This window comes from Homo sapiens, chromosome X (assembly GCF_000001405.40).
Source record: "Homo sapiens chromosome X, GRCh38.p14 Primary Assembly".
NCBI classification, from domain to species: domain Eukaryota; kingdom Metazoa; phylum Chordata; class Mammalia; order Primates; family Hominidae; genus Homo; species Homo sapiens.
In genome coordinates, this window is record NC_000023.11 from 150,811,930 (window position 1) to 150,828,522 (window position 16,593).

At 38.2% G+C, this 16,593-nt stretch overlaps 1 protein-coding gene and 1 pseudogene across 8 annotated transcripts in view; one reads left to right on the forward strand and one right to left on the reverse strand.

The window, feature by feature from the left end:
- Positions 1-16,593, reverse strand: part of CD99L2 (CD99 molecule like 2) — a 132,333-nt gene that overhangs the window by 45,594 nt on the left and 70,146 nt on the right. For 2 of the 8 annotated variants that reach the window (XM_047442560.1, XM_047442562.1), the window contains 4 exons: positions 16,377-16,439; positions 4,350-4,526; positions 4,078-4,149; positions 2,933-3,007 (listed from right to left, as the gene is read on the reverse strand). The exons of 2 other annotated variants lie outside the window; for them this stretch is intronic. In XM_047442560.1, the coding sequence (XP_047298516.1) occupies positions 2,933-3,007; positions 4,078-4,149; positions 4,350-4,479 (277 nt within the window). In that variant the 5' untranslated portion in view covers positions 4,480-4,526; positions 16,377-16,439. Of the gene's footprint in view, positions 1-2,932; positions 3,020-4,077; positions 4,150-4,349; positions 4,687-16,376; positions 16,440-16,593 lie in introns of those variants that run through there. 4 more of the 8 variants (NM_001184808.2, NM_031462.4, XM_047442561.1 and 1 more) reach the window with 3 other exon arrangements.
- On the forward strand, positions 6,824-7,317 carry PPIAP91 (peptidylprolyl isomerase A pseudogene 91; annotated as a pseudogene).

Sequence of the window (16,593 nt, forward strand, 5' to 3'; positions counted from 1 at the left end):
GGTGGGTAGATGGCTTGAGCCCAGAGTTCAAGACCAGCCTAGGCAACATAGTGAGACCCTATCTCTGCAAAAAATACAAAAATTAGCCAAGTGTGGTGGTGTGCAACTATAGTCCCAGCTACTTGGGAAGCTGAGGTGGGAGGATCACTTGAGCCCGGGAGGTCAAGGCTGCAGTGAACCACGATCATGCCACTGCACTGCAGCCTGGGCAACAGAGTGAGACCCTGTCTTGGACACACACAAAAAAAAGTATGATCAATAAAAGGAAAAATTGACAAACTGAACATCATCAAAATCTAAAACTTCTGCAAAGGACTCTGTTAAGAGGATAAAAAGACAAGCTACAGAATGGAAGAAAATATTTGCAAACCATATATCTGACTAAGGACAAATGTCTACAATATTTAAGGAACTCTCAAACTCAATAGTAAGAAAAACAAAAAATCTAATTAGAAAATGGACCAAAAACATGAACAGACATTCCACTGAAAAGGATATACAGATGGCAAACAAATACATGAAAAGGTGTTCAATATCATTAGCCAGAGAAATGCAAACTAAACCACAATAAGATATTACCACACACTTATAAAATGGCTAAAATGGAAATAGTGATAGCACCAAATACTGGTGAAGATACAGAGAAAATGGCACTGACACAATGAATTAGGGATTGCAAAATATTACAGTCTTCATGGAAAACTGATCATTTCTTACAAAACTAAACATGTAACTACCATGTGATCCAGTCACTGCACTCTTGGGCATTTATTCATAAAGAAAGAAAAATTTATGTTCACACAAAAATACTATACATGACAGTTTACAGCAGCCTTGTTCATAATAGCCAAAAACTGGGGTCAATACATCAAGTAAACAAACTGTGGTACATCCATCCCATGGAATACTCCTTGGCAATAAGAATGAATGAGCAATTAATACACCCAACAATATGAATGGATGCCAACTGAATTATACATGAAAAAGGCCAATTCCAAAGGGTTATCTACTTTATAATTACATTTACATAACATTTTTGAAATACAACTTTTTTTTTTGCCTCCCCCCAAAACTGAATGCCATGAAATGACAACATTTTACAAATGGAAAACAGATCAGTGGTTGCCAGGGGTTAGGAAAGGGATGGGGAAGGGGAAATAGAACTGTAGGAAGGTGGGTGTGGTTATAAAATGTAATCATGGGATACTTATGGTGACGGAACTGTTTGTATCTGACTGTGATGATAGATACACAAACCTACACACGTGATAAAATTGCAGAGAAGACACACACACATGTGAGTGTAAACAAAACTAGGAAATTTGAATAAATGCATAGATTATATCTATGTCAATATATGGCTATGATAGTAGAGTACAATTTTCAAGATGTTGCTATTAGGGGAAACTGGGTGAAGGGTACAAGGGGTCCTTCTCTATTATTTCTTACAACTACACACGAATCTATGATTATCTAAAAATGAAAGTTTAAATTTTAAAAAGTAGGTAAACAGAAAGTTGAGAATCAAGGGTCATTTTGTCAAAAAAGTTTTGACACTTAAATGGCTGAACTTCAGCAGCGCAGGGAAACCTAGAAAATAAGTGAACATGGTTTTAAGCTACTAAGTTTATGATAGCATGTTCAGCAGCACTGGAAAACTAACATGAGGAAGTTAAAAATGTTTTAATTGTATGAGAGCACGACCTTTTAATATTTTCTAACAAAACAGGAAGTACATTTCAAGCATTTATGTGGCACATGGAAATACAAAAGTTGACATAAAAAAACTGCTTTATGTGATTATTTCCATTCTGAGCAGTATGAGCCATTCCTCTCAAAGAAGATTTTTTCCTTGAAAAAGTGAATTGAAGAGTAATTAATCAATATTTAAAGATTTTTTAAAACCAACTATGGTTTTGCCAACTTTAATATCTGTTAGATGTTTTCTTGAAAATGAATGAGCCTGTCAATTTAAAGAAACCCACTCATGGTATTTGTTGCCAATGATAAGATTTCAAGGAAAAGTTAGAACTTCAAAAACATCTTTTTCTACCACTGTGAGTTTAACAGTTTCCCCAATGCATATTTTTTTCAAATGAGATGGGTGATGATATGAACAAATATGACTTTCAGTTTTACACAATGACACATGGCATTACTTGGAAGCTCGAAAAACCTCAAGGCACTAATATTTTCCAAATGACCAACATGCAATGTTACAAAACCATGAATGGGTAAAAGATCCATTGAAAGGACAAGACAGTCCCACGGAACCAAGTGTGCAAAGTTCACTGACAGAGTTTCACACTCCACACTACGCTTAACCTGTAAGAAACAACCGCTTTTGTTGGGGCCAAGTTTTGGTGTCCTATCCGAGAAGATTATCCACAAGGATCTGAAAAGTCTGTGAAAATATTCCTCCCTTTCCCCACTGCCTATGGGTGTGAGGCCAGATTTCCTTCATATACTTCAACCAAAACAACATCTCACGATGGAATAAAGTGCCTGTGAGAAGCCAGCTGCTTCCATCCAGCCAGACATGAGAGAAATCTGCAAAAATGTAACAGCGTGCCGCTCTCCTCAATATAAGTTTTTGTCTTACCAAGCATAGTTATTTCTCATAAAAATGTTATTTATGTTAAATGTATGGGTTTAGTGTTGTTCATTTTAGATTAATAAAGTCTTTCAGTTTTAAATTCTAAGATGATGAGCATTGGTAAACGTGACCCACATAAACAAAAATCTCTTGAGATCTCAATGATTTGGGGAGTCCTGAGACAAAAAAGGTTTGAGAACTACTGTTACAGGGTTCTCCAGTGGCTTGAAGTGCCTCCACCTCTGCCAAGCCCAGACTGACTCTGGCTCTGTGGGATGTTGATGTTGTAATTAATGAGACAGAATCCTGTAGTAGTTTCAACCAGCAAAGACTTACCTCTTCCTCCTATACCCGGTTTCCTGCGGCCATCATCTTGATCATCCAAAGCATCAGCCAAGTCCAATCCACTACCTTCAGTGGGCCCCAAAACATAAAGGAAACAGCCAACTGATTAACAACTGGGTATAAGATTCCAAAATAAGCAAAATGCCCATGGGTTCAACTGATCAATACCAACAATGGGTTAAGACAAAGAGACTTATATTGGAATCCAATTCTGTGTACAGACATTGATAATGAAAATATCTGCAGGATAGAAAAAGTTACTACTTTCTGACTTTGCAGTATACCACCAGTTTTTCAATTAATTTATATTCCTAGGTATTTTCTGCTTAGGCTAGCAGTCGGACCATTTTAACAGTATACTCACTGACTGTAGGTATTAACCCAAAATTCAAAACCAGGTACACAGAGTCCATAAAGAGGACAACCAAAAGGGAGAGGTCATGTGGTCATGAAGCACCCCTTTGAATGTGGAAATGTGAAGAAATGAGGGCAAATCATAAAGCAGCAGTGACTTTCTTGCATCATCAGTGTCTCTTCGGAAGAAAGGTAGCTCTCTACCGCACAGAACGTATTATCATGCCCCCGACTACTGGTAACAAGTTGCTGGATGGGAGCAATGACTGGGATCCCAGCCACACCGTCACATTTTTCTTTACATCAGTGAAGATGTCTAAATCGTAAAGTGGCCCATCTGAAGAAAGGGTCAAGTGACAACAGGAAAGAGTTGTTAAGAAGAACCAAGTCCCAAAATCCTTTACTGAAAGATGACACTGTAAAATAAATGCCATTCCAAAATGTTCCATCTGCCTAAAGAAAATGCTTGATCGGCTTCATAAAACCTAAACAATTACATTTTCCCTGATTTTAGAAAATGAAACGGCTAAAAAGGGGAAGAAGTCCAAATGCATTTTCCTCTTGAAATTTTCCCAGGCAGGACTTTTCATAAAACACACAGAAGGCATAGTGATCAGCCAGGTATGCACTCTATTATAAAGTTAAACTCAGTGTTCACATGGATGCCTTGATTGTTTCTGCACACATGGGGCTTAAAACTGTAGGTAGTTCACTTGCATGCTACCCCAGAGGGAACTCCAGAGGGCCCTTCCTCACTGCCCTCCTTAAGGCAGCCACATTACCTGGAGGTTTTGCCGGAGCTCTGGTGGTTCCTGGCCTATTGGTTGTGGTGGTGGTGGTGTGGTCCCATGGCTCTAAAAGGGAGAGGGAGGACAGCAAGGGGAGCACGTTTAGTAACAAAACACAGCAGCTACTTTATGACTTGGGGAAGTCACATTGTGAGTAGAATATCCTTGTCTTGGTCCTTGAGGCCCCTCTAGCTAGGAGCTCCAGAGAATCACACTGAAAAGGATGACAAAATGATATAGGTTTAAATGAGAAGAGTTCTGCTCACTTTTCTTTGGAGGCTGAGGGTGGTGAGGTGGACATGGTCTCACATGTGACCTGGTGATTAGTGAACCTGGGCTTGCACCCAGATCTGCTGGAGATGGCACGTGGTCCAGGGAGTTCCACAGCCTGAGCATGATCCTTGAGGGCTCCAAGCCTTGGTTCCACAACTATCAACCTGGCACTTTAAACATAGATAATCCTGCTCAGGGATAGACTGAGGTTACATTCCTAGTGGAATATGGGAGTATTTCATAAACTGAAAGTGGTTACAAGACATGCACACAATATTTTATATAAGTGTAGAACACTTTTACACCATTGGTGGGACTGTAAACTAGTTCAACCCTTGTGGAAGTCAGTGTGGCGATTCCTCAGGGATCTAGAACTAGAAATACCATTTGACCCAGCCATCCCATTACTGGGTATATACCCAAAGGACTATAAATCATGCTGCTATAAAGACACATGCACACGTATGTTTATTGCGGCACTATTCACAATAGCAAAGACTTGGAACCAACCCAAATGTCCAACAATGATAGACTGGAATAAGAAAATGTGGCACATATACACCATGGAATACTATACAGCCATAGAAAAGGGTGAGTTCATGTCCTCTGTAGGGACATGGATGAAATTGGAAACCATCATCCTCAGTAAACTATCGCAAGAACAAAAAACCAAACACCGCATATTCTCACTCATAGGTGGGAATTGAACAATGAGAACACATGGACACAGGAAGGGGAACATCACACTCTGGGGACTGTTGTGGGGTGGGGGGAGGGGGGAGGGATAGCTTTAGGAGATATACCTAATGCTAAATGACGAGTTAATGGGTGCAGCACACCAGCATGGCACATGTATACATATGTAACTAACCTGCACATTGTGCACATGTACCCTAAAACTTAAAGTATAATAATAATAAAATAAAAATAAATAAATAAATAAATAAATAAATAAAAATAAAAGTGGTGACCCCAAGAGGCTTGCAGCACACTTCTGGGTCCCTTAAGTTGTATTATATAAGTAATTTAATAAAGACAATGAGCTAATTGACGATTTAAAAAAAATTATCCACATAAAGTTAACATATTAAGATCCTCAAAAGCAAATAACAATTAGCAAATAAAAAAAAATAAGTGTGGTTACTACTGGAAATATTAGGTCTTTTGAGCTCAACCACATTCCTTAAAAATTGTAGATAACTTTCACAAGAATTATACAATGTGCATGAAGTTTTTCCAATAGTTTCTTTTCATAAACATCAAGACTATGTTGCACATATTCTCACTATTGAAAATATCAGAGAAAAAGATTTAAGGAATGGGAAAGGCAAAGGTGAAACAGGTTTAGCTTTGAATACAGCGAGTACCCAATAATTATTGACTATTCAGAAAACAAACAGCAAAAATAGAAATAAGTTGAGGTCAGGTGTAGTGTCATGTGCCTGTAGTCCTAGCTACTTGGGAATATCAGGGAGGAGAATTGCTTAAGCCCATAAGTTTGAGGCTATAATGCACTATGATCATGCCTGTGAATAGCCACTGCACTCCAGCCTGGGCAACAAAGCAAGACCCCATCTCTAAAAAACATAAGTTGAAAGTAAAAGAATGGAAGAAGATATACTATGCAAACAACAACCATAAGAGAGCTGGAGCAGCTATACTAATATCAGATAAGATTTACATTATAACAAAAATTGTTAATGGAGTCAAAGAGTGACAATTTATAATTATTTATAATGATGAAAGGATCAATCCAAGAGGAAGACATAATAATTTTAAATATATATGCACCTAACAACACAGCCCCAAAATACATGAAGCAAAAAATTGCAAAATTGAAGAGAACAGATGATTTAACAAAAATAGTTGGAAATTTCAATATCTTCTTTTCAATCACAGAAGAAACAAGTAGGCAGATATATATATATATATATATATGACTTGAACAACTTTATAAACCAACTAGACCTAACAGACACCTATAGAACATACCACCCAATAGCAAAATACACATTCTACTCAAGTGCATGTGAAACATTCTTCAAGGTAGACCATATGTAGGTTACAAAATAAATCTCAATAAACTTAAAAAGACTGAAGCCATACAAATTATGCTCTTCAGCACAAACAAATTATGTTCTTCAGCACAACAGAATGAAAGTAGAGATCAGTTTCAGAAGGGTATTTGGAAAATTCACAATTATACGGAATTAAAGAGCACACTCCTAAACAACCAATAGGTCAAAAAAAACCACAAGGGAAATTATGAAATACTTTGAGATCAATGAAAATGAAAACACAACATACCAAAACTTATGTGTTACACTGAAAGCAGTGCTTAGAGGGAAATTTATAGCTGTAAATGCCTACATTAAAAAAAGAGAAAGATCTCAAATCGATAACCTAAACTTTCACTTTAATAAACTAGAAAAAGAAGGCTTTGCAGACACTGCCATCGTCAACCCCGGTCCAGTCCACTGTGTTCTTTGACACCGTCGCTGTCTAAGGTGAGTCCTTGGGCCAGGTCTCCTTCAAACTGTTTGCAGACAAGTTCCAAAGACAGCAGGAAACTTTTATGCTCTGAGCACTGGAGAGAAAGGATTTGGTTATAAGGGTTCTTACTTTCCTAGAATTATTCCAGGGTTTATGTGCTAGGGTGGGGACTTCACATGCCATAATAGTAATGGTGGCAAATCTAACTACCAGGAGAAACTTGATGATGAGAACTTCAACCTGAAGCATACAAGTCCTGGCATCTTGCCCACAGCAAATGGTAGACCGAATACAAATGGTTCCCAGTTTTTCATCTCCACTGCCAAGACTGAGTGGTTGAATGGCAGGTATGTGGTCTTTGGCAAGGTCAAAGAGGCCATGAATGCCACAGAAGCCATGGAGCACTTTGGGTCCAGGAATGGCAAGACCAGCAAGAAGATCACCATTGCCAAATATGGACAACTCTAATAAATTTGACCTGTTTTATCTTAACCACCAGACTATTTCCTCTGTAGCTCAAGAGAGCACCCCTCAATTCCATTTGCTCTCAATATCCTATAATCTTTGTGCACTCACTGAAGCTCTTTGGGTTCCATATTTTCCTTATTCCCTTCCATGTCTAGCTGGATTGCAGAGTTAAGTTCATTATTATAAAATAAAACCTACATAACAATTTTAAAGAGTAACTAGAAAAAGAAGAGCAAACTAAACCTAAAGCAGGCAGAGGAAGAAAACACCAAAGATTATAGCGGAAATAAAATGAAAGAGAGAAGAGAAAAATAAAGAACAAAAGAGGAAAGATCTCTTAAGATCAACAAAATTGATAAACTGTAGAAGACTTACCAAGATAAAGAGAGAGAAGACCCAAATCGCTAATTTCAGGAATGAGAGGACATTACTACCAACCTTAGAGAAATAAAAAATTATAAAGGAATATCTTGAACAATTATAATCCAAATAAATTCAATAACCTAGATGAAACAGATAACTTCCTATTAAAACACAACTACCTAAACTGACTTGAGAAGAAATAGAAAATCTGACTAGACTTATAGCAAGAGATTGAGTCAGTAACCAAAAACTTCCCACAAATAAAATTCTGGAACCAGAAGTCTTAATTGCTGAATTCTACCAAACATTTAAAAAAGAACCAACACCAATTAATCTCAAACTCTTCAAATAAGTAAATAAACAAACAAACCAAGAGAAGAGAACACTTCCTAACTCATTCTATCAGGCCAGTAGTATGTTAATACCGAAGTCAGACAAATACACATAAAAACTACAGAATACAGTTATGAATATAGGGGCAAAAATCCTCTTATGAATGTAGAGGCAAAAATCCTCAATAAAATACTAGCAAACCAAATCCAGCACCATATTAGGACTGACCATGACCAAGAGGGGTTTATCTCAGGAATGTAAGAGTAGTTCAACACAGTAAAATCAATCAATGTACTATCCCATATTAATAGAATGGAAGGAGAAAAAAAAAAAAAAGATTACCTCCATAGATGCAGAAAAGGCATTTAACGAAAGTCAACCACCATTTCATGATAAAAACACTCAATGAATTAGGAATAGAAGAGAATTTCCCATTTTGTTCTGCTTACTTCATCAGAGTCTACTCTCTATGTGCTTTTTAATGATAATTAGGCTTACTCTATTGGATTTTTAAAAGCATTTAGATGGTTTATTTTGGCCTCATCTGTTAACTTCCTAGAAATAAAAGAGAATTTCCTCAACCTGATAAAGGGCATCTGTGAAAAATCTGCAATTGACAGCATACTTACAGGTGAAAGACTAAAAGCTTTTTTCCTAGAATCAGCAACAAGACAAGGATGTCCACTCTTACCACTCTTATTCAACATTGTAATGGAAGTTCTAACTAGAGCAATTAGTCAAGAAAAAGAAAGAAACTCTTTGAGATTAGAAAGGAAGAAGTTCAACTATCTCTATTCACAGATGCTATGATTTTATATATAGAAAACCCTAAAGAATCCACATCAATAAAAAAAACTATTAAAACTAATGAGTTCAGCAAAGTTGCAAGATATAAGATCAACATGAAAATCAGCTGTATTTCTATACACTAGCAATGATCAATACAAGGAGCAAAAGAAGAAAATAATTTCATTTATAATAGCAATAAAAAGAATAAAACTGTTAGAAATAAATTTAACCAAGGAAGTATAAAGACATGTACACTAAAAGTTACAACACACTGTTAAAAAATTAAAGACCTAAATTAATGGAATGAAATCCTACGTCCATAGATTACAAGACTCAATACTGTTAAAATGGCAATATTTCCCAAATTAATCTGCAGATCCTGTGCAATCCCCATCAAAATACCAACTGCCTTTTGTGCAGAAATGGACAAGCTAATCCTAATATCCACATGGAATTGCATGGGACCCTAAATAGCCAAATCGATCTTTAAAAAAAGAGCAAAATAGCAGTCACACCTCTCAATTTCAAAACTTACTACAAAGCTACAGTAACCAAAATAGTGTGGAACTAGCTTAAGAATACACATATAGATCAATGTTATAGGATTGAGAGTCTAGAAGTAAACCTTCATATTTATGGTCAATTGATTTTCAACAGGATGCCAACACCATTCAATGGAGAAAGGACAGTCTTCTCAACAAATGGTGCTCAGACAGCTGGATAACCATATGTTAACAAAACTGGACCACTACTTCTCACCATATACAAAAATTAACTCAAATGGACCAAACATCTAAATATATGAACTAAAACCACTCTTAGAAGAAAACATATGGGTAAATCCTCATGACCTTTGATTTGGCAATGGATACTTAGCAATGACATGCAAAGCATGGGCAACAAAAGAAAAAACACATAAATTACACATTAATCAAAATTTAAAATTTTTGTGCATCTAAGGACATTATCAAGAAAGTGAAAAGACAATCTACAAAATAGGAGAAAATTTGCAAATCATACATATGATAAATGTATAAAGAGATCATTAGTCATTAGTCTTTAGGGAAACGCAAATGAAAACCACAGTGAGGTCCCACCTCACAGACACTAGGATGGCTTTCATTTAAAAAAAATAAATAAACAAGTTGGCAAGGATGCAGATAAATTGGAACCCTCATACATTACTGATGGGAATGTAAAATGCTTCAGCCACTGTGGAAAACAATTTGGCAATTCCTCAAAAAGTTAAACAGAATGACCATAGTAACCAGAAATTCTACTCCTAGGTATATATCGAAAAGAATTTAAAACAGGTATTCAAATAAGTACGTGTATATAGCATGTTCATAGTAACATTATTCATAAGCTAAGAGGTGGAAACAACCAAATGTCCATCAACTGATGAGTGGATAAACAAAATTGTGGTATGTCTACACAATGGAGTATTACTTAGCCATAAAAAGGAATGAAGTACTTATACATGCTACAACATGGAAGTGCCTCCAAAACATTATGCTACACAAAAGAAGCCAGGCACAAAAGGCTACATGCTGTCCAGTTCCATTTATATAAAATATCCAGGATAAATTCACAGATACAGAAAGTAGGTTGGTGGTTATTTGGGGTTGGGAGGATAAAAGAATAGAGAGAAACTGCTTGATAGGTAAGGGATTTTTGCTGTGAAGTGATGGAAATGTTTTGGAACTGGATAAAGGAGGTGGTTGTACAACATTAAGAATATCCTAAAATGCCACTTAATTGCTCACTTTTAAATGAAGGGTAAAAGATACAAAGTAGCAGATATGTAAGATGAACAAGTCTAGTGATCTAATGTAAAACATGAGGACTATAGCTAATAACATTGTACTGTATTCGGAATTTTTGCTAAATGAAATATTGCTCTTCTTGTCCAACAAAAAAAATGGGTAATTATGTGAAATGATGGATATATTAACTTGCTTCACTAGAGTAACTATTTACCAAGTTGTATATGTGTCTCATAATATCATGTTATATACCTCAAATATACACAATAAATTTTAAAAATAAAATGGTTAATTTTACATTGTATGATTTTACCTCAATAAATTATTTTTTTAAAGAAGGATGTCTGATATGGTTTGGCTGTGTTCTCTCCCAAATCTCATCTTGAATTGTAGTTCTCATAATCCCCACGTGTCATGGGAGGGACCCAGTGGGAGGTAATTGAATCATGGGGGAGGTTACCCTCATGCTGTTCTTGTGATAGTGAGTTCTCACAAGATTGGATGGTTTTATAAGGAGCTTTTCTCCCCCTTCACTCTGCACTTCTTCTTGCTGCTTCCATATGAAGGACATGTTTGCTTCTCCTTCGACCATGATTGTAAGTTTCCTGAGGCCTCCACAGCCATGCTGAACTATGAGTCAATTAACTCTCTCCTTTATAAATTACCCAGTTTCAGGTATGTCTTTATTAGCAGCATGAGAATGGACTAACACAATGTCTTAGTCTTTTTTCTGCTGCTTATAACAGAATACCTGAAACTGGGTTGGTTGGTTGGTTATTTATTTAGTTATGTATTTATTTATTGTTGAGGCGGAATCTCACTCTGTCGCTCAGGCTGGAGTGCAGTGGTGCAATCTTGGCTCACTGCAACCTCTGTCTCCCAGGTTCAAGTGATTCTCCTGCCTCAGCCTCCCAAGTAGCTGGGATTACAGACATGTGCCACCACGCCCAGCTAATTTTTGTATTTTTAGTAGAGACGGGGTTTCACCATGTTGGCCAGGCTGGTCTCAAACTCCTGACCCCAAGTGATCCACCTGCCTCACCCTCCCCAAGTGCTGGAATTACAGGTGTGAGCCACCACGCCCAGCTGAAACTGGGTAATTTATAAAAAAGAGGAATTTATTTCTTACAGTCATAGAGGATGAGAAGTCCAAGGTTGAGGTGCTGCATTTTGTGAGTGAGGGCCTTCTTGCAGGTGGGGACTCTCTGCAGAGCCTCAAGGTGGCACAGGACATCAAATGCCAAGTGGGGCTGGTTGCTAGCTCAGGTCTCTCTTTCCCTTCTTATAAAGCCACTAGTCCCACTCCCATGATAACCTACTAATCCATTCACCTATTAATCCATGAATGGGTTAATTCATTCATGAGGGCAGAACCCTCATGACCCAATCACCTCTTACTCAGGAGGCTGAGGTGGGAGGACCACTTGAGCCTAGGAGTTCAAGTCTAGCCTAGGCAACATAGCGAGACCCTGTCTCATTTGTAGAAAAAAAAGAAGAAGAAGAAGAAGAGGAGGAGGAGGAAGAGGAAGAGGAGGAGGAGGAGGAGGAAGAAGAAGAGGAGGAGGAAGAGGAGGAGGAAGAGGAAGAAGAAGAAAGAAGAAGGAAGAAGGAAGAAGGAAGAAGGAAGGAGGAGGAGGAGGAGGAGAAGAAGGAAGGAGGAGGAGGAGGAGGAGGAGGAGAAGGAGGAGGAGGAAGAAGAAGAGGAGGAGGAAGAGGAGGAGGAAGAGGAAGAAGAAGAAAGAAGAAGGAGGAGGAGGAGGAAGAAGGAAGGAGGAGGAGGAGGAGGAGAAAGGAAGAAGAAGAAGAAGAGGAGGAGGAGGAGGAGGAGGAGAAGAAGAAGAAGAAAGAAGGAAGAAGGAAGAAGGAAGAAGAAGAAGAAGAAGAAAGAAGAAGAAGAAGAAGAAAGAAGAAGAAAAGAAGAAGAAAAGAGAAGAAGAAGAAAGAAGAAAGAAGAAGAAGAAAGAAGAAAGAAGAAGAAGAAAGAAGAAAGAAGAAGAAGAAAGAAGAAGAAGAAGGAAGGAAGAAGAAAGAAGAAGAAAGAAGGAAGAAGGAAGAAGAAGAAAGAAGGAGGAGGAGGAGGAGGAGAAGGAGGAGAAGAAGAAGGAGGAGAAGAAGAAGGAGAAGAAGGAGGAGAAGAAGGAGGAGAAGAAGAAGAAGAAGAAGAAGAAGAGGAAGAGGAAGAAGAAGAAGAGGAAGAGGAAGAGGAAGAGGAAGAAGAAGAAGAAGAAGAAGAAACCTTGCCTGTCAATACTGCCACATTGGGAATTAAATTTCAACATGAATTTTGGAGGGGAAAAACTTCCAAACCATAGCAAGGGGGTTGTTGCAGTTAGCTGTTTTAGTAAAAACTGTATTTGGAAGTTGAGAATATGGGAAGTCTTTCCCTTAAAATGATAATGTTTGCACACTACTCCTTAGGAAGATTTTGGGTACCCTAACTCATACCTCACTGTGAAGACCACACACCCCAGTGAATGGATATTTATGGTAAGAGAACCACATGTGATAACCTGTAGTCATTATGCATGCGTATCTATGTATATATTTAATCTATCTCATCATCAGTTTAGAGATAATTTTGTCTCTAATTTCCATTTGACTTTGTACCAGTAAAATGCAAGAGTATAACTTGTCTAAATGAGTTTGTTTATGTATAATTATATTATGATATAGATAGGTAAAAAAGAGAAATTACTGAAACCATTATTTGAGCAAGTTCCAGAAAAGCAATTGCCACTTATGTAAATATTAGCTTAAAATTTGCATGACTCAAACAACTCTTGTGTAAAAGTATTTGTTTATCTGTCTTAAAGAAAATTAACTGACCATAAATATAAAGGTTTATTTTCAGACTCTCAATTCTATTCCATTGACCTATGCGATGCCAGTACCACACAGTCTTAATTACGGTACCACATAGTTCCACACAGTCTTGATTACTTGTGCAGTTCTGCCCTGCAATTCCAGTTCTGGAAACGTCTCGTTTCTCTGAAGATCTGCAGGTGCCATTCAAGAGACAGCAGTCCCTACATGCATGTGGAATCAGTTGTTGTGTCAGAGCCCAAGCTTGTATTGATGTAGAACAAGAGCTTCAATTTATGCACATTTTTAGAAACTATTAACTACAGATTTTTGTGTTGTAAGTCTTTAAATGGGATTTCTTATTCGTAATTGAGATGAGAAGAGTCTACTTATCAAGGACTAAGAATAGTAGGTCAACTTCATCAAAACACTTAGCTCCTAAAATAAAGAGACCCATTTCTGTGAAGCCTTTCTCAAAATGACAAACTCAGAAAAAATTCTTAGCTGCTCAGCAAATGCTTCCAGCAATATGGCACTCTGACCAGGAGTGATTCTCTGTAATATCGTGCTGTACCGAAACAGTAAAAACAGGGTGGGTTCCCCCAGGTGTGGCTTAATAATGGTAACTGCTTGGTCTGAATGTATATGTCCCCCGCACCCAGCCCCAAATTCATGTTGAAACTTAACCCCCATACTGATGGTATTCAAAGGTGAGGACTTTGGGGAGGTGATTAGGTCACAAAGGGCACCGTTCTCACAAATGGGATTAGTGCCCTGATAAAAGAGGCTTGAGGCAGCCCTTTTGCCCCTTCTGCCATGTGAGAACACAGCTAGAAGGCACCATTTATGAAGCACAGAGCAGCCCTCACCAGACACTGAATATGCCAGCACCTTGATCTTGGACTTCCCAGCCTCCAGAGCTGTGAGCAATATATTTCTGTTATTTATAAAGTATCTAGTCAAAGGCATTTTGTTATGGCAGCACAAATGGACTAATACAGGGCCCATGGTATTCCCAGGGAATGGGGACATTCATAAGAAGCTTTATTTGGCAGAATCAGAAGTGTGTTCCCCCATGAGATGATTACACACACAGAGAGAAAGGAAGAGATGGTGAGAGTGGTGGAGGACTCTGAAAGCAACATGGATGAGCCTTGAAAACATTACACTAAGTGAAAGCAGCCAAACATAAAGTCCACATATTGAATGATTCCATTGATATGAAATATTCAGAATAGGGAAGTCCATGGAGACAGAAAGAGATTAGTGGTTGCTTGGGGGTGAGGGGTGGAAACAAGAAGAATTGGGGGATTGGGAAGTGATAGGTAAAGGATACAATGTTTCTTTTTGAAGTAATAAAAGTGTTCTAAAACAGACTGTAGTGATGGTTGTGCAACCTTGTGAATATACTAGTAAGATCCTGTGTGATCTGTCCCCTGACAACTTCTCTGTCTTTTCTCCAACATTCTCCAAACTCCAGCCACACAGGCTGCCTTCCGGGCCACAGAGTAAGCCTGGCTCTTCTCTGCCTCAGAACTCTTACAGCTGATCTCTTGGCCTCGAAGTCTCCTTCCTCACTTCCTTGCACATTACCTCTCCTCAGAGATGCCTTCACCACTTAATTTTAAAGTAGCTGCCCCTAATCTTGGGCGCTTGCTATCCCATCACCCCCTTGAATTTGGTTGAGAGTACTCAGCAATATCTGAAAATATTTTAGGTACTGTATGTCTCCTTCCAGAGAAAACAATTCATAAGGGCAGTGACCTCTTCCACATTGTTAGGCCTAGCACCTAGCAGCAAGCCGGCACTCAAAAAACATTGGTGAATAAATAAATAAAGGTCATTTACGATACAATCTCTGGCCTAGGTGGTTCAGGGGTTTTTAAAACAAGCAGAGGAATGCACAACGTGCAGAGAAGAACATTCTCTGCAAGATAAGTATCTGGACCAAGGTGAGGTGGAGAGGCCTATCTCTTTGAAACCTCAGTTACGAGAAACATAAGCTAAGATAGAAAAAAGGGTGGCAGCATGATGTGGTCTTGTGGGCTGTCATTCAAACACATACATCACATACAGGTGGTTCTAGGGGTTCCCAGAGACACTGGCTGATGGGTGCTGATGAGGAAGATCAGATGGGTCAGCACAAGACTCAAAAAGGGATTTTATATATTAAAAAGTCCCTGTCGATTGGAGGTATGATATGCTGAGATTTTAAAAGTTCCCATCAAGAAGTTGACAAATTTATTGAAAGTCTATTTATATTTATCAAGTTTGTTTTGGTCCTGTTTGTTTTGGAGATGTTAAATGATTTCATTAAAACCATCATTGCTAATAAATTAAGTGTATTTATTTTCCTGGGGATCTAAGAGGACACCTGCATGCAGAGGACAGCATGAATATCCAGGAAAGACCTGAGAATGCCCAAACCGCTCACCTCACACTGTACACAAAAATTAACTTCTAAGAGACTTATACTTCCAGGTTTATGATCAATTTGGAGTTAATTTTTGTGTATGGTGTGAGGTAACGGTCCAACTTCATTCTTTTGCATGTAGATATCCTATGGTCCTAAGCACTGTTTGTTGAAGATTGACTGTTCTTTTCACTTTGAATAGGTCTTGGCGTCTTTGTCAAAAATCAACTGACCATAGATCTAAGGGTTTATTTCTAGACTCTCAGTTCTATTCCATTGATCTCTAGCCAGTAGCCCACTATCTTGATTATTGTAGGTCTATAGTCAGTGCTACAATTGATAAGTTCTCCATCATTTTCTTGTTTTTCAAGATTGTTTGGCTATTCTGAGTCCTTTGAATTTCCATATGAATTTTAAGGTCAGCTTATCCACTTCTGCAAAAAATCCATCTGGGATTTTGTCAGGAATTGTGTTGAGTTTGTCACCCGATTTAGGTCTGCTTGACTCTTACACCACAGGCCCAGCCACAGTCAGTCCTTCCAATCAAGTCAGTCAAAGAACAACAGTAAGGCTAATGCTTACTGAGCACTCACCTTGTTCCAAGGACTGTGCTGAGTGCTTCACATGGCTCCTCCCATGTCATCCTTACAGTGATCCTAGGAGGTAGGGCTTCTTATTATCTTCATGTAAGAGATAAGGAAACTGAGGTGCAGACAAGTCAGGTGACTTACCCAAGGTGACAGTTCAGAAGTGGCAGAGGTAGAGTTTAGACCCAAGAAGTCTGACTCCAAAGCCCTTGACTTTCTCAAC